At 35.0% G+C, this 19,018-nt stretch overlaps 2 annotated features.

Moving 5' to 3' along the window:
• Positions 4,993–5,493: an enhancer, noted in NCBI's record as "H3K4me1 hESC enhancer chr3:103845515-103846015 (GRCh37/hg19 assembly coordinates)". NCBI's record gives its function as "activates a minimal SCP1, AML or CMV promoter by ChIP-STARR-seq in naive H9 embryonic stem cells {active_cell/tissue: H9 hESC(naive)}" and the evidence as "EXISTENCE:reporter gene assay evidence [ECO:0000049][PMID:30033119]".
• Positions 11,888–12,475: an enhancer, noted in NCBI's record as "OCT4-NANOG hESC enhancer chr3:103852410-103852997 (GRCh37/hg19 assembly coordinates)". NCBI's record gives its function as "activates a minimal SCP1, AML or CMV promoter by ChIP-STARR-seq in primed H9 embryonic stem cells {active_cell/tissue: H9 hESC(primed)}" and the evidence as "EXISTENCE:reporter gene assay evidence [ECO:0000049][PMID:30033119]".

Raw genomic sequence — 19,018 nt, forward strand, 5'->3', positions numbered from 1 at the left:
TTATCTCAATAGATGCAGAAAAGGCCTTTGACCAAATTCAACAGCCCTTCATGCTAAAAACTCTCAAAAAATTAGGTATTGATGGGACGTATCTCAAAATAATAAGAGCTATTTATGACAAATCCTCAGCCAATATCATACTGAATGGGCAAAAACTGGAAGCGTTCCTTTTGAAAACTGGCACAAGACAGGGATGCCCTCTCTCACCACTCCTATTCAACATACTGTTGGAAGTTCTGGCCAGGACAATCAGGCAGGAGACAGAAATAAAGGGCATTCAATTAGGAAAAGAGGAAGTCAAATTGTCCCTGTTTGCAGATGACATGATTGCATATCTAGAAAACCCCATTGTCTCAGCCCAAAATCTCCTTAAGCTGATAGGCAACTTCAGCAAAGTCTCAGGATACAAAATATGAATTTAGAATGCAGGGACACAGACATTCAGTCTATAGTACTTGGTAATTTAGCTATATTTGTAAATGGAAGTCTAAATTAGGTAGATAAATATAGAATTGAGATTCCCCTGTCCTTGTATAGATCTATTTCCTAAACTGGTCCCCCCTTTAGGAACAGAACTAAATAACCATGTTGAGGTTACATCAATTGGCAACACCAGAATGTGTAGAGAAAGAGCAGAGAAATAAATTTGACATGAAAATGTAGTCCTTCAGTTAGCTACCCATAATTGTTTTCCATAATTCTATGGTCTACAAGGATTATGTAGCCTTGACATAATCTGGGGTCAAGGACAAGGTAATCAGTCAGTATTTAAAGTATTAAATTATTTTATTAATTGTATTAATTAAAAATATTTATTTTATAAATGTATTCATAACTAATGGATATTTTATTAGTTAATTTATTATTTTTTTTAGAGAACATGTATGAAAAAATGATAGTGCTACATAATCAATTTTTAGAAAGCCACTTCTATACTCACTTATATTTACACTCTTTACTCAGAGCTTAGGGCTTTTTTCCTAGGGAAGAATACTAATTTATCACTATTCTAAAAATTTGCATTATTATTGCTTTATTATTCTTCCTCCATTTTTCCTAGGTCCTTTTTTAGCAGATACATTGTTTAATTAGAGGGAATTGGAAAGAAACAAATACTTAGTCAAACTGTAGTACTATACTCCTCCAATAACTTTTCAAGTTATTTTGATATTTTTAGGCCTAGAGAATTGTACTCTTTCACTAAATTGTGCAGTAAAGGGCAGAGAGATTCAGGATTTGAAAGAGAAGAGGCCGAGAAAGACCAGTTATAAAAAGAATTTGGATATTGGGGTTATTGCTTTAATGGGTGGCTAGCAGATGAGAAAACAGAAAATAGTTTATTCCTTCAAAATATCTTCAAAGTGATCATAAAATACATAGAATATTGTTTTCTTTATAGAGTTCCACACAGTTACATGTAGGTTTACCTGTACAATGAATACAGTCATGTAGAGGATATAATTCCATGGAGAAATGCTGTGTTGAAATTAAATTCTTCAAGTGTTCTATTTCTTGAACTATTTTTAAAAATTACTGAGGTTTCCAATTTATTGGCTATTTTCTATTTTTGCCTTCACTTTTGTCTTATGTAGACAAATATATTCTAAGTTCTCATAGATTTTTAGTTAATTCGTCAATTTCTTCTTTTAAAACTCTTGAGTAAGTCGTCATATACTTGTTTGATCCCATGACCATGACATTTTCTTCTTCATCGATGTCTGCAAACACAAAATATGGTTCCGTTTTTTTTAAATCACAGTATGTGCCAATACAAGTTTATTGTTCAGACCTAATTGAACTTATTTTTGTGGGGCTTCAGTCTACGTTATTAAAGAATATTATTATCAATTAGTGTTATCTTCTTTCCCTTTTGAGGTCATTGGGAAAATCTGAGTAAACCCAGTGTGAGTTTGATGTGACAGTACTGTATACCATATCACAGTGGAACTTTCTGTTGCCCGGAAGTAAATGGAAAGCCTTGATGAACTTATAGAAAGGAGAAACATTCCTTTTCTTAATGTTAGAAAAATAACTCCATAGACTGAAATAGATATGGAAATAGAGTATAAGGAGGCAAAACTTGAAGCAGAAAACCCAAAGTGGGGCCTTTTTTAATGGGAGCTTATGGAACTAGGGGACCGTAATAACGGTGACACTTTTCATGCAAATGTGGCTGCAAGTTTCTAATAAAAAGAGACTGTTAAAAAGGGAAGCGCTTTGCCTTTATGGGGATTAGGAAACCTGTCATGAAGCTACTTTTTCTTAGTAAAAATCACTCTTCATATTTAATTACACAGTTGACTGGGGTGGTTTTGAGGATGTGAATACTGATGTACCCCTTCAAACTGCAATTTTGTTCCAGGATTCTATTCTCCCCTGTAGATTTCTTGGGATGATATTCTAGTTGGAAGGATATAGACCTGGATATTGTATGAGGGGTATAAACTTTCAGTTAACAATGGTGACTTTCTGTTATCTATTCAATTCCTCACCTGTTGAATAGCACTAATGCTATCTGGAGAAGGGATCTCAGTTTACGCAATGAGGTAGATTGGGCTAAAGGCAGTTTCATTCTACTGAGCAGTTTAAAAATGGCCGTGGGATACAGACGACCAATACTGTAACAGGTATAGTTATAGCTTCTCAGAAAGCCATTACTCACTCTTAAAATGGGCATTATGAAGTCAGATTCTGTCTTTCCATTGAATATGATAAAGGAAACCTGTGTGCTGTAGAATGAATGTCTGTGTCCTCTCAAATTTGTATATTCAAATCCAAATCCCCAAAATGATGATATTAGGAAGTGAAGCCTTTGGGAGGTGATTGGGTCATGAGGGTAGAGCCCTCATGAATGGGATTAGTGCCCTCATATAGGAAGCTCCAGGGACTTGTCTCACTTCTTTTCACCATGTGAAGAAATAGTAAAAAGGAACTCTATATGAACAAGAAGGTGGGCCCTTTCTAGACACTGAGTTGACTGATGCCTTTATCTTGGGCTTCAAGAGAAAGTCTTCAGAACGGAGAAATAAATGTTTGCTGTTTAAGTCACCAAGCCTATGGTATTCTGTTATAGAAGCCCAAATAAAACAAGATGGTGTAGTACGGATTCTATGGGCAGCCTTTTTATGCACAGGAAAATGAGCGTTCTAATCTATGAAAGGCAGGTAAATGATAAGTAAAGCACCTCTCTTCTTAATGATCTGATGGAGCCACTGCTGAAACAACTCATCCTACAGGGTAGATCCTACCTCTTTAGGATAATGTGTCTTTATTTTTCTGGGTCTTAGAATAGGCTTTCTTTTGAATACAATCAAAACATCCTAACTGTATTATAACTTTAACTGAAACTTTGCTTATCTAAGTCCCTATTTAGGTCTTATGGCCCAAAGTTATGCTTTTGTACAGAAAAAGAACACATGATAAGCCATTGTCAACAACCCGGCAATTGGGATCATCAATCCAAACATTAAATCTCTCCTGAACTGATCATAAAATAAAACCGATTTAACAAGTGTATGAGAAGTAGCACTGAAAAATAAACTTTACACGTGTGTGTATGGTATATAATCTGTAAATATTCACCTGGTATCTGGGGACTTAATATAGTTTTAACAGAATTAAGGCCTCCTTAAAAGTGTCTTATTTTAAAACTACTACAAATTGTGAAAGAAAAAATTGCCAAGTTCAAGACCTGAGCATTTTAAATTAGTCATCCAATCAAAACTCAGTGTCTGTCCAAATCTGCCAAATAAGTCTGTTCCAGCAGCCTTAGTAATTTTCTTAGTATATGGCATTGTTAATGTATTTTGAGATAATTTATTTAGCCCTGATTGTGTAACATTTTTTATAGCTAAAATATAGCAATGTGAAACAACAAATTGTCCATTTCATGCTGGGTAAATGATTGAAAAGAAAACCATACAATCTATCTCACCCATAATTTTATCCATCAGTCCTTTTCAGAAAGCAACAATGGGAAATGCATGCCATGAATCTCTGTATACAGAAACTTTTTTTTGCAGTGTAGCTTTCAATATCACAGAATTTACACTATAAAAAAAACCTGTTTCTTCGTGTTAGATTTCAGCTGCGTGTGGTTCTACATTCACCTCTCTCACTCTGTATCAGTCATCTTCAAAATGATGGTCATGGGTAGCATGTTTCCTAAGATATTTTCCTACATTTCTTCATGTATCTGACTATTCATAATTCTGGCAACAATTTTGATTATTTCTGAAAGCTCAAACTATTTCTAATTATCTCACTCATATTTGATGGTCAGCATGACAAGTGGTCATAAAAAGTACTTTCTGAATCATTCAGTAGTGTTCAGTTGCACTTGAGAAATCCTCCTAATGGCAGTGGCATACATGAAAAAGGAGGAAGCTGGATTAGATTTTGACATTGCAACTTCTCTAAATCCAACAGGACAGTCATTCCTGGTCTTTCTGTCAATTCTGAACAAATTTGTTTGGCGCCAAAATCAGTATTGCTTTTCTAATCAAGAAGCGATTGGAACATTCTGTCTTGCAGAGAGACACATCATTGACAATGAAAACACTAACTTAGAAGAAAATGAATCAACTTTAGGAATGAAGGAACTCAGTTGGATTTGCCTCAAGCCATTAAGCTTTTATGACAGTCAGTCACTAGATTTTAGAACACTAAGCCACCCTAAATTTATACATGTAAGAAAGAGCATTAAATTATTATATTCAAATGATGTTTGTTTATAAATGGCATATAGTTAGAATTACTTGGCAATCTTGCCAAACACTATACTAAATACATTTTATTTTCTACAAAAATATGATGCAGGATTTCTCTTAGGCAGTTTGCCTGGCTTGCAGCAGGAGATGCCCTCTCTACTTGGCCTGCCAGGATGCATATTGCTTGTACTCCAGCCTGCGGCTCCTGCAGCCACCGTGACTGCTCACTCAGCACCTGGCAGGAGGGTGTGTGGGAGCAAGCAAGTGCAGGGTCTGGCTGGCTGTTCCAAATGCATGCACAAGGGTGGCTCCGTGCAGGGCTTGCGACTTGACTAGGTGTGCCTCACTGAGGGGAACATGGTGGTGCCCAGGCAGAGATGCCCATGACCCCAAAGCCCCAGAAAGGGTGTTACAACATGCTAGTTAGCTTTTTAGTCTTGCCTCTGCAGCCCAACAGACAGCTGCATGTTTACAGCTTGGTTCAGCCCCTTGCCCCACTCTGGCTTATAGCTCTGGGACTGGCTCAAGTCCGTCATTGCTTTCTGTAGTGTAGGGCAGCTGCCCTCCACTGGCAGATGGCAGAGAGCAAGAGTATTATAGCTTTCTGAGTACCTGTGTTTGGTAGGTCCTGAATTTTTGTCCTGCATTCAAGAAGAATGAGGTCATGCTGACAATTGAAGGGCGATGAGGGTGGAGAATTTTATTGAGCAATGAAACAGCTCTCAGTGGAGAGGGGACAGAAAGGTGGCCTCCCATCTGAAGTCGTGTCATCTCCCGCCAGTGTGGCGGAGTCTGGGGTTTTTATAGGCACAGGATGGGGGAGGGGCAGGCCGTTGGTAGTATAGGAAAAGGCAACATTTGATGGGTTAAAAATTATTATTCAGAAAGAATCAATATTGGAAAGGGCAGGCAAACAAGAACAGAAGTTCTCACTCTGGGTCATGGCTTTCATCCAGAATCAGCAGGCTGTTTTTGGCTTGAAGGAGGGGTTTCTCTAGGTATGCACCCCTATCTGCGTAGGCATTGTATGGCTCCTGTCACTATCAAATATAGATGATATCTACTTTACATGACCTTTCACATATGTTCACAAGTATCTCAGTCTGGAGATGAATATCAATGATACTAAACATTTTCACATTGTGATTTAGATTGATATTTCCAATTAATAAAATTATTTTTTGTCTTTTTTGAAAAGCTGCACTTTCAGTTCACTCTTTTCGAACAGAAAACAAAATTACCTAGGTATTAGGGATAGTTTAGCTTAATAATAAAAGTAGATTTATTTATTTTTACCAAAGGAGCATATTAATTTTGAAGATCAGATTGACTCATATAAATAGTGGAATAAACAATTTATTTTAAATTTGTTTTGCCTTCAACAATTATATAGACTAAAAGGGTTTTCCTTGAAAAGAATGAAGAACTGAGAGGAAATATGTGAAATTATAAATACATATTATCCTCAATATGGAATATCAGAAAAAAATTGATTATGCCTACAATGCAAATATAAGCAAAGGAAACTGTTAATCACACCACTGTATTCTTGAAAATAAGCTTTGAAACTGACCAGCAGTTGAGTGCATTGATTGGCCGTATGTGTGCACACACACAGGTTTGTGTGCGCATGTGTGCATTTTAACTGATTACAAGAGATTTCAGATAAATACTGTGGTACTTTGTGTATTGTAACAGCTGTCAACAAATTATTACTCAACCCTCGGTGACAAAGGCCCCAACTGTAATATGGTGAGCAAGGTGCTGAACTGCTATAAAAGACATCACAGAAAAAGAAAGTATTTTATCTTCCAATGTCTAGATTTAATTTATTGTTTGGCACTCATCTCATACTCAGCTAACTAGCCACTAGCTGGTGGCCTCTTTTTTTAAATCTGTGAAATATTCTATTGTGAAAAAGTAATCTCATAAAAGTAGATGTAAATATAGTTCTTATAAGAATAATCCTTTAAATTTTTTTTCTAAATATAATAATAAGTATTTAGGTCTTGTTCATTGTATGCTACTAGATATCTAAAAGTTGATGGACATGTTCCTCATGTCACTGAATGATTACTTTCAAAGGTCAAAATACACTTTAAAAAATAAATATAGAATATTAATTTTCTAGTCTGGGACGTAAGGAGCTTGGCAGTAATTACTTAGTTCTAACAACAAGTAAAAAGCTGAACAAACAGAAAAATCAACAATTCTTCTTGGAACCATCAGAGAAGTGAGCTCACAGGGCAAAGCACTGCCCTTAAAATTAGAAAGGCAAACAGGCACATACTGCAAAACACAACTTAGAGCAGAAACACCTGAGCAGAAACCAGTACCAAGGAGGAAAACCTAAGCAAAATAGATAAATGGGGAGGGGAAAATAACCATTTTGAAATACATCAAGGCATTCTGCTCTTCTTAACAAGGCCTGCCCTCAAGAAAAACTACTTCACTTGGGCCTAATCTAATGGGATTTTATGAGATTCTAACTGACCTAGGGAAAGGAGAACACTTAAGTCTAGCTGATTTTAGCCTTCAACATGGAAGAAGGAAAATGCATAACCCCGTCACACTTTAGCTATGCTGAATCACCCAAGGGGAGGAGGGGGAATGATAATCACTTGGAAAGTTTATAGTCCAGGAGCAAAGGCTCACTAAAACACTGAGATCTAATTATGGGACTAAAGAATGCTTTCCCTCTTCCCACAACTTACCACATTACCAAAGGCCTATTTACCCCAGGTCCTTTCATCAAGTATATGATGTCTAGCTGTAAGAAAAAAAATTACAAGATTCACTAAAAGATAAAAAGCACAGGTTGAAGAAACTGAGCAAACATCAGAACTAGACCCAGATATGACAAAAATGTTGGAATTATGAGATCAGTAATTATAAATATATATGACATTAATTTGTTGGGGATTTAATGGAAAAAGTAGGCAATGTGCAAGAACAGATGAATAATATAAGCAGCAAAAAGGAAATTCCAAGAAAGAATAAAAAAGAAATGCTAGAAATCAAAAACACTGTAATAGAAATAAAGAATGTCTTTGATAGGTTTATTAGTAGAGTAGACATGACTGAGGAAAAAAAGTCCTTGAGCTTTTCAACAGAAAGTTCAATTTACAATGGGTTTATCAGGATGTAACCTGAGAAATATCTGTATTAAAAAATATGCATTCTAGGAAAAAAACAGATGTTAAATGTAAAGCTAGTACATATGCCTACTTGGTGAGTTTGCAGAACAGCAAAGTTGTTAATGTCATTGGAAGAAGGGAAGTGAAGAAAATGATAGCGAAGGGAGGGTATATAGCACTTGTAGAACCTCAGGAGTCAATTTAAGAACTCAGCTTTTACTTTCAGTGAAATGTGGAGCCTTTGGGAGATTGAAAAAGAGAAGTGGTCAAGGTTCCCCATGGTTCCAGTATCAGAATCAACATTTAAGAAACAAAATTAGAACCAATAAGACCAATTATTGCAATAATCCTGGTGCAGTAAATTGGTGTTTTTAATCATGTGTTAGTTGTGGTGGTAGTACGAACTAATTTGAATTCAGATATATTTTGTAGATAAAGCTGAGTTATTGCATATTGAGTGTCATAGGAAGAGAAAAAGTAAACGATGACTCCAAGAAATTTTGGCTAAGGAACTGTGAAATACTTTTTTCAGTTCCAGGAATAGAAAAATTGGAAAAGTAACACTATTCTTGGTGGGAATCAGTTCAATTACAAGTGTTAATTTTGTGAATCCTATTAGATATCCAAGTAGCTATGTTCAATAGGTGTGTGATATATGTCTACAGTTTCAGATACAGGTCTTGTCTGAACATGAGATCACTAAAAGTATAGATTAGAAAAAAAGAATACAAAAAGTCAGGGGATTGAATCCTGATTCCCTCAAATATTTACAAGTTTGCAAAACAAGGAATCAGCAAATGATACTAGACTGTATCATGAGTTAGGTAGTTATAAACCAAGAGAGTGATGTCTCAGAACCCAAATAAAGAAAGTATTCCAAGAAGAAATGAATAATCAAGTGTATGAAATGCTGCTTATCGCCAAAAATAAGAAGTGAATGAGACCTAGAAATTATCCATAGAGTTAAATAAAAAAGAGACTATTGGTTACTTAGGGTGTTTTCAGCACAATGATCACAATGGAAGCTTCTTTGGAGCATCTTTAAAGAAAAGGGCAGGAAAGAAATTGGAAGCAACTACTTTGGAAATTTATACTTCAAAATAAAGCAGAAATATAGTTTAGTAAGTGAAGGTAGTTATTGGATTGAAGGGGCATTTTAAAAAAGTGAGATATGATGACATGTTTATATTGATGAAAATGAGTAGAGAGGGAACTATTGATGATGCTGGGGATGATAACATAGAATAAAAAGGAGGGGATGAGTTCCGGTGTAAAATTGAAGAAGTCAGTCTTACATCAAAGCATAAAATTAGCAAAAACATAATATGAAGCTGAAAAGCAGAATATATGGGAGTCGAAAGATGTGTTGGTAGGGATAAGCAGAACCCCTTTTTCAGTTTGCTACTATTTTTTCAATAAAACAAGGATCAAGCTTATCAGGCAGGAGTGAAGAGGACCAAAAACATTTTGGGGATTTGAGGTAATTTAAACTACTAGACTACCTTGGCTTCTGTCCTATGCAGTTTATCTCTGAATACACAGATAATAAACTATTTTTCATTTTCTAAAATATCTATAATAATCTTTTCAGCAAGATAAAAATGTGTGGGTTTTCGTTTCCCAGATTATTAAAAATGTTTATAACTTGCTAATTTAATTTTTGAGGTTGGATAAATATAGTTCAAGACTTTGTTTCTCCTAATAGCATTTAAACACCCTTAAAGAGATTGATTAGAGATACTGGTGCTAGTACTTTAGGAACCAATTTTCCACCTTTTTAAAAATTTTATATTTTCGGCCAGGCGTGGTGGCTCACGCTTGTAATCCCAGCACTTTGGGAGGCCGAGGAGGGTGGATCACGAGGTCAGGAGATCAAGACCATCCTGGCTAACACAGTGAAACCCCATCTCTACTAAAAATACAAAAAATTAGCCGGGAGTAGTGGCAGGCGCCTGTAGTCCCAGCTACTTGGGAGGCTGAGGCAGGAAAATGGCGTGAACCCGGGAGGCGGAGCTTGCAGTGAGCCGAGAACGCGCCGCTGCGCTCCAGCCTGGGTGACTGGAGCGAGACTCTGTCTCAAAATAAATAAATAAATAAATAATAATAAAAATAAAAAAAAAATTATATTTTCCTATGTAATAATGTAGCTTTATTCATTGTTAAGGAGAAAATAGGACCAGAGGGGAAACTAGAATGTTTTGTTTATTCTCCTCCAGAAACAACAAGATGCAGTGCCCTCTCCTTCTTGCCAATACAGTACAATTTGTTTTTTTGTTTGTTTGTTTTTGTTTTTATTTTCCAGGGTCTCACTTTGTCACCCACGCTAGAGTGCAATGGCATGATCTCAGCTCACTGCAACTTCTGCCTCTCAGGTTCAAGCAATTCTCCTGCCTCAGCCTCCCAAGTTGCTGGGATTACAGGCGTCCACTACCACACCTGGCTAATTTTTGTATTTTTAATATAGAAAGGTTTTCAGTGTGTTCGCCAGTCTGGTCTAAAACTCCCAACTGCAGATGATCTGCCTGCCTTGGCCTCCCAAAGTGCTGGGATTACAGGTGTGAGCCACCACACCCAGCCAATACATACAATTTAAAGTGATAAGAGTTATATAGGAATAAAATGCTAGTGCTGTGAATGAGCAAATTTAAAGTGAATGAATTTCACTGGGTTGGCACAGTGGCTCATGCCTGTAATCCTAGCTACTCTGGAGGCTAAGGCAAGAGGATCACTTGAGTCCAAGAGTTTGAGACCAGTCTAGTTAACCCAGCAAAACCCAGTCTCTAAAAATAAATATATAACTAAAAAAAATTTTAAAAATAAAAATAAATAAATAAATTTAAACAAAATATTTATCACAAATCTTGGTCACTTTGTCACTCAAAACTTTTTTTTTTTTTTGGTTGTTTTGTTTTAGGTCATTGTTGCTATTCACCTGGATCAAAGCCAAAAAAACAAAACAATGGGCTAAATGACAAGCAGAGCTGAAGTCAGACTGTCTGAGTTCTGTTGTCATCTTAGAGGATACAGATGACTTTAATAATATTTAATTCCTTTGCCAGGCCTAGCCAGCATTTGGAAAATATGATGGGTATATTGTGTTATTTAAATTTAATTTCAGCTGGCAGCTCTGCTGTGCCATCTTATTAACTAGAGAACTACTTAGCAATATAAATCTCAGTAATGTCACTGATAGACACACCCACTTCCTTTACTTCACTGCTTGATGGGCAAGGAGCAAAAGTTAGTGAGAATCATATGTATGATTAATAAACTAGGAAGAGCTTAAAATAGCTACTGCTCTATACCACATGGGCTCCCATATATTAAGTAAAAAGGCAAAAAAAATACCCTGATGAGAGAGGTCACATTTTCTAAGACCACTGGAGGAAGTGATAAAGCCCTATTATGTATGAATCTCCAGGAAATCCATTCTGTGTCAGAAGAGAAGAAGGCTTACTAACTTGTGACTGTTAGAAATGTGCAGTCAGAATTTTCTTAATAAGCCGTGGAAGGAAGGTCAGAATATAACTACAAAGGAAAAATGTGATTAAAAATAACAGACAGAAAGGAAAGAAAAGTCAACAATTCCTCTTGATTCAACTTAGTATCTTGATTTTATTCTCTCTTGTCACTAAGAGTAATCAGTTCACTGAACTCTGATCTTTTACTTTGTCCTCTGTAGGCTTGGCTTAACACACATTGAGGAAGCAGCCTAGACACAGCTTATATGGCTGGGCCCGAAACCACATGAAACCACCACCACCACAGCACTTGCTTTTGTGTTTTATGAACCTTTATACACATACACACACATATATCACATATAAATGATATATATCATATATATGGCATATGTGTGTATATATTCTTTTTTCTTCTCCATCTTCAGTTCAAGAAAAACCTATCTTCCTCTCATCAAAGCAATGCATCAATATGAAAGAACAGAATCGCAACTTGAACAAATTGCAACAATCAGATAAATAGTGAAAAACTAAATATTAGAAGAGAAAAGGGAAAGTGTTGATATAGGAGTTAAGAAGAAATTAGGCAGATAGTAAGGGTATGAGAGTCCTCAGTAAGGCTTTTCTTTTTAATAAAAGGCAACCCGCAAAACATTTCTTATCTAACAGAAAGCATCTTGAAAAATCAGAACTGCAAGCATTGATATGCAAATACCAGGGGCTGAAAGCCAGGTAGCCAGGTCCACCCAATATGGCATCTCCCACCCTCTTTTCCTTGTCACCACGTGTGCCAGGTGTCATGGCAGCCTCCAGATAAAAATCACTTGTACAAGCATCATGGCCACCACCAGGTGGAGGCTGCATTTGCATAATAAAAGGCTACGGTGGGAGGGCCAGTCTTTTCACAGGCTATGTGAATGGCACACCTGGTCAAAACAATCCCCTGAGCCCTATGTAAGTCAATCATCACCTCCTCAAGCCTCTGTACAAACCGACTGTATTTCCCACAGTTCAGAGACCCTCTTTGATCGCTTTCTCAAATGAGGAAACTTTTTCCCTCTTCTTTTTCCATTAAACTTTCTGCTCCTGAACCCACTCCTCATGTGTGTCCCTGTCCTGAATTCTTTCTGCACTGAAACCAAGAGCCAGGGTATATACCCCAGACAATGGAGCCATTTCAGTGTTAGTTATATAGATATAACAACATCAAGTAAAATTGTATTTTATAATTATGATATTTTTAAAACAGAAAATTATTATTTAACTTTAGTATTGTAGGGATCACACATTTTCATTAAAATATCTGTACTTTGGAAAGAACTGAGCTATTATACTAGATAGAAAACAGTAAAACTTGTACTTTTTAAAAAGTATACGAAAAAGAATGTCTTGAGGTTAAGCTGAAAATTTTTCTAAAACTATGAAGAATTAGAAGTAATTATAAGTTAAATAGGCCACAAAAGGTGTGAGTTTTCAAACTATGTGAACAATAAGATTCAATTTAAAATAACTTGGCTTTGTTTTTCTGCTACCTAGTATTTGAGAACACAAAGAAATCTTGATTTTTATGTAATTTTCAAATTTAAAAATAAATTGCTAAAAGTTGCTTACAAAACTTTAAAAATCACTTTTTTGGCAGCATATGTTTAAGGAACTTACTATGTGATTAAGCTTTTCAGAATATGCTTTATTTCAACAGCACTCCTGGAAACTGTGGCCATTTACTCAAAAAGACACAATAATAAGAATAGTTTACTTAAGAATATAATTCAAGCACCTCAGCATTCCTAATTATAAATATCTATTTTTCTGCTTAGAAAATATTAGTAAAATATTGTTTTAAAAGAAGCAAAATCTTTTTAGACTTGTTTAAATAACTATTGTTTACCCAACACTTAACCAGTTCTGTTAAATATCTGATCTAGTTACATTGGACTACTCTTGTACTTCAGGTTATATATTGATACATGTGAGAATTTAATCTGTGTTACTGTCTTATTCTGTTAGATAAGACAATTTTTCATAGTTTAAAATGACCCCATTTTATGATTTCTCATTTTGCAGTCTCAGTCATTATTAACTCTTTTTCTCTTTTTTCTACATTTAATTGGAAATAGCAAAGTAATCATATTTCTACTTCTCAAATTCTTCAAATTGTATTTTTATGTTTATTTAAAGGAAAAACAAAAATGAAAGATAATCTAAAACAAAATATTCTAAAACGTAGACACATCAGTCAGTATTTCCCTTTTCTTCTCTCCTCCTGCACATCCTGAAAATACAGCAGGGAGAAATAAAACAAATCAAACTTATTTTTAATTCTAGAAAACAAACAATCTTCAGATTCCACACTTTTGTTTGATACACCAAAACATTTATGCTAAAAGGGCACACCAAAAACCAGGGAAAAATTGAGAACATTCAAGAATGAATGTCAGGTGATAAAAATTTTCCTAAGGAAATCAAAGCAAGATGAATGGCATGAACATTGAATAATAAATTGTAGAATGTATTAAAGGACAAAATTACAAAAAAATTAGTTTAAAGATTTTGATTGACTTTATTGCAATTCTAAAATCAGGCAACAATTCATTCTATGAAACAGAAAGTATTCAGATGAGCTGAGAGGAGGGGGTGGACATCGTAGAGAGAGAAGAGCTGAAGAAGGCTGAGACAGAGAACACAAAATATATTAGTCATTTCAAAGTTATTTTTCTTGTAAGGCAGGGAGAGGGAGACAGAATAATAGAAAAATAACTGATAGATTAACATCAGATTACCTCAGGCTATTTCTTCTGTGTAAGGATTAAGGCAGAGGAAATGTCATTGTCATGCCCTTTGAAGATATTAAACTGACTTGATGGGAAATTGACTATTATCTCTTTCTTCTGATTTCTCCAAGATCAGACAACAAGGTACCTTGAGTTTGGTGACGTGGAACTTTAGCATAAGTGACTCCATTTTTATTTTTAGTTTAGTTTACTGAGGCCTAGTGTAGAAACTCAGTCCAAAACAATTACCTCTTATAATTTTTATTTAACAATTAATAGAATGAAATCTTTAATTATAAGGGAATTAGTAGTGGACAATAGGATGTAAGCATGCTACTAGTTCAACTGACACAAAATTGGAGGTAAAGTGACAGGTGGCGGGAAATAAATCTGAGTAAATTTCTTGATTGCATTGTAATAGTTGAGTGCCAAAGCATAACATTAAGTTGGAGCAAAAGAAGTAGTAGAATGATTAGCATTTTTCAGCAGACCAACATTTATCACAAAAATATAATATTATTGGCTAATATGGTATGTTAGAGAAAAGAGAAGGGAATTAGAGAAAAGGAAATGTGCTAATTTTGCCACTGATTTAGAGAGAAAATTTTAAAACTATATGAAACTAAGAACTCTTACAGTTATTAGAGTAATCATTGCAACAAAATGGGTACCCTTCCAAATATCTCAACAAACAGCAAGGAAACCAGACTTTTAAAAAACTATAAAAAAAGATTTTTTAAAATGACGGACCTTAAAGCAAATATATGACACGCAGGGGGATTTCAAATCCTATTAAAAACGATTTTAATGTTAAATCACAAACAAAATCCAACTGTAGCTGCATTTAAGAGTAAATCTAATTCAAAGAAATGTTAAAAGTGTGATTTTAAAGAAAAAAGCAAAATGTATACAATAATATTCTACCAAAGTAGAAATCAATACCAAGGCATTGAATAAATAAAGATGGACACCTCAAAATGCTGAAGGGTTTAATTCATAAAATGAAGTTATAAGAGTTGTGAATATTTATACACAAGTTATCCTGGCAACAACAATCATAAAATACAAATTGTATGAGATACTAGGAGTAATATATAGGATGTATTATAGAGACAGTTTTATCTTTCTCAAGCCATGACTACTACAATGATAAAATAAACAAAAACCTAATATGTAAGACATAAATGACATCATTAATAAAGATAATTGATGTTTATATAAACCATCTAATCTACTTACTTGTATCCACTATACTTCTGGATCACGTACAGATTTGTCATCATAAAGTGCACAAATTTTGTATCCTATGTATTTTTTTACCTATTTGAATTTTTTCCTTTTAATTTTATTACTTTTTCTTTTTCAACATTTTATTTTTGAATCCAACTCCTACTTTAAATTCTTCCACCCCAATGTATACCTAATTAAGTTATATCTGGGTTTTGGCCGTAACTTCTCAGTGATCATCCCACAGTATAATTATGCAGGGTGATGCAAGGATACTTTTGCCAATGTGTAATTCTTTTATGACCCCTTTCATAACCTTTGAGACTGCCTTATTTCTAACTACATTAGGTTCAGATTTCTCAACATGCCTTACGTGTTTCTCCAAAATTTATGATGAAACCTCATTTCCAGCTTCATCCTATAATATTCTGTCATATTTGCTCTGTTCACTTCTAATCTTTTATTGCTTTCAGAATGTTTCACTCCGTTTCTGGGCTTTTTGCTTCCCCTTACGTTTCCCATTTACTTTGAATTTTCTTTTCTTCTTTTCCATAGCTAATCCACCCAGCATTGTGCATTTATTGATACTCGGCAAAACTAGAATTTTTTGAGAACAACATATTATATATTCTTCAAATTTGTGTAGTAAGTGTAATAAGACACAATACATTTATGTTAGTAAAGAATGGAGATAATAATATCTTAGGAGAGTAAAACTCTTTCTGTCTTTCTTCCATCCCACATCTCACTCCTCCACACTGTTACTCTCATCCAACTCTATGGATTGCACTCAGAGTTTCTTAGTTTTTTTTTTTTTTTTTAGACTAAGGGAGATATTGTTTGTACTCTAGGAGACAGAAGCTCGTAGCTTAGACTAGGCTAGTGTTTATGTGGGAGTAATGGAGAAATGTATATAATAGATTTGAGAGAAATTTAGGATTTCACATTGACATACATTAGTTGTAGGTAAGATCTGGTAGTTCTTCAATCCTCTCTTGTTCTACACCCATATTTCCATCATATTTCTGACATAACCTTTATTAAAGTGATGGTTATTACAAACCTCCATTTTACCTCCTTCCTAGTTTACAATTTATTTTAGCTTTCATTAAAATCACCAATGACTTTATTGTAGAATTCAATGGTTATTGACTTTGGTAATTTTGGTCACACTATCACTCTTGAAACACTTGCAGTGAATATGAATACCAATTTAAAAATTTTTATGTGCAATAATATGACTTTATTTACTTCCTATTAATGACAACTTTACTTAATGTATTTCTAGACCTCATTTCCCCATACCAGTGGGAAAACAGTAATAACCACTGTTACTACTTACAAAGTTCCCAACTCTCTTGAATTGTGACATAGTTTTTGTGACCTTATGCAGTGACAAGATATTTGAGACATGGGGGAAAAGGTGCTCCAATTATTACTTGATAGCAATTCTTATGAGTTGCCTTTGTGATGGCCCTAGTTCTTGTCTAAAGGACTTTCCCAAGTCTGGTGTCTCTCTTATTTTCCTATCTCAGTTGTAGTGCTATGTGTGTTACCACGTGGTGGGTTGCAGTATGTACCTGGGATCTTATTACCTCTACTTGGATACCATAAAAGGCAATTTGGAAATCCCTGCCCAATTATTTCTACTCTCTGGTCCCTTTCTTTCTTTTGCAACTCATGAAAAGACCTTGAATATGAAGGTCAAATATTTCTCCCTTTATGCCTTCTTTAGAAATTATTTTCTATGCCCACAGATTCCTACTTTCACCTCCTTTGTAACCCATCCCTTACTCTGCATTCCACCCCACTTCAGAAAAAAAGTAAAAATAAAAATAAAGTACTTTGACTTTTGAAGGACAAAAGGCAAAATGACACGCTATATACTGTTTATTTTAATCTGCTTCATACCTCCCTGGGGCTATGAATGCAGGGTTAGATATATATTTGAATTAAGAGGAAGAGAGAAAGGTAGGACAATTGGTGAAAGTAAAAAAAAAAAAAAGTTATTATTTCACCACATTTTTCTCCTACTTCTTTGGGATTCCTGGGAAGGTTTGTTTTTGTTTCTTAATGGGTGTATTTATTTCCTTATGCTTCACGTGATTGTTTTGATATTCTTCTCACTTTTAGGTACACTTTTATCTGCATACAACAGTTCTTCCTCATATTACATTTTATTTTATCTTATTTCTTTCTTAACCACTATAAATACACATTATTATATGAGTAATGTCTTTCTTTAAAATTTGTTTTTAATGCAAACTTTCATGTTATATAAGTGTGTATCCATGAAAAACACATGATATTGAAATGTTCTTTAAAATAGATGCAATAATTTGTACTCCTAACAGAAACATTTTGATGCACCGTGTTATAACACATTATTGTCAGTCCTTCTTAATTTTGCTAATATTTTGGTTGTAAAGTGTTATAGTTGCCAGAATTATAAAGATGACTCCACTTACAAGTGCCCTATGTTATTCAATCAAACACCAATCTAGATATAGCTGTGAACCAAGTTTGCGGATAAAATTGGGGTTGCTAAATAGCTGACCTTGACCAGGCACAGTGGCTTATGCCTAGTGTAACCATGCTAGCGTAATCCTAGAATTTTGGAAAGCCAAGGCAGATGGATCACTTGAGCTCAGGAGTTTGAGACCAGCTTGGGCAACATGGCAAAACTTTGTGTCAACAAAAAATTTAAAAGTTAGCTGGGTGTGGTGTGGTACTACAGGTGCTGGGCATGGTGCTGCACAAAGCCACCAGCTACTCCAAGGACTGACATGGGAAAATCACCTGAGCCTAGTAGGTTGAGGCTGCAGTGAGCAGTGACCATGTCACTGCACCAGCCCAGGTAACACAGTGAGACTTTTTCTTAAAATCAAGTCAAATAAAATAAAAATAATAAATCAATAAATATATAAATTAATAGCTGTCCTTAAAATAGAGACATTATCCTGGACTATCTTGGTGGAGTCAATAAAATCACATGAGCTCTCAATATCAGAATAGGAAGGCATAAGTTTGAGTCTGAGAGGTAGAGAGGCAGAGGAGAAAGATGAAGAAGGAAGGTGAGAAAAATTCAAAGCATGGGAGAGACTTGACCTGCCATTGCTGGCTTTGAATATGGAGTAAGGAGATCAGAAGTCAAGAAAGGTATGTGGCTTCTTGAAACTAAATGTTGCCCCGTTCCACAGTTAGAAAGGAAAGTAGAATCTCAATTCTACAGTCATAAGTAACTGACTTCACCCAATAATCTGAATGAGCTTGGAGGTAGTTGCTTCCCAGAGCCTCACATTAAGACCCCAGCCTGCCAACACATTTCCACCATGTGAAACCCAGAACAGAGAAGCCAGTTGAGCTAACCCAAAAATTCTGACTTACAGAATTGTGAGATTTTTTTTTAACAATGAAGTTTGTGGCAATTTATTATAACAGAAAGTAAAAAGCAGTATAATTTCATTATTGGCTTCGTTTGTATTTTCTAATTTCTGAGGTTATGCATATATCACATTAATTATTAATCATTTATTTTCACCTCTATAGATTGTGCTTCACAGATGTTGCCCATTGGGATTTTCTGCCTTTATCATATAGATTTATAAGAATTTCCTATATACATTTTAAAATATTATTTATGAATTAAGAATATTAAAAAATAGTTTGCCATCTGTTTGCAAAATGTGTCTATTGTGCCCTTCATTAAACAG

Source organism: Homo sapiens, chromosome 3 (assembly GCF_000001405.40).
Source record: "Homo sapiens chromosome 3, GRCh38.p14 Primary Assembly".
NCBI lineage: Eukaryota > Metazoa > Chordata > Mammalia > Primates > Hominidae > Homo > Homo sapiens.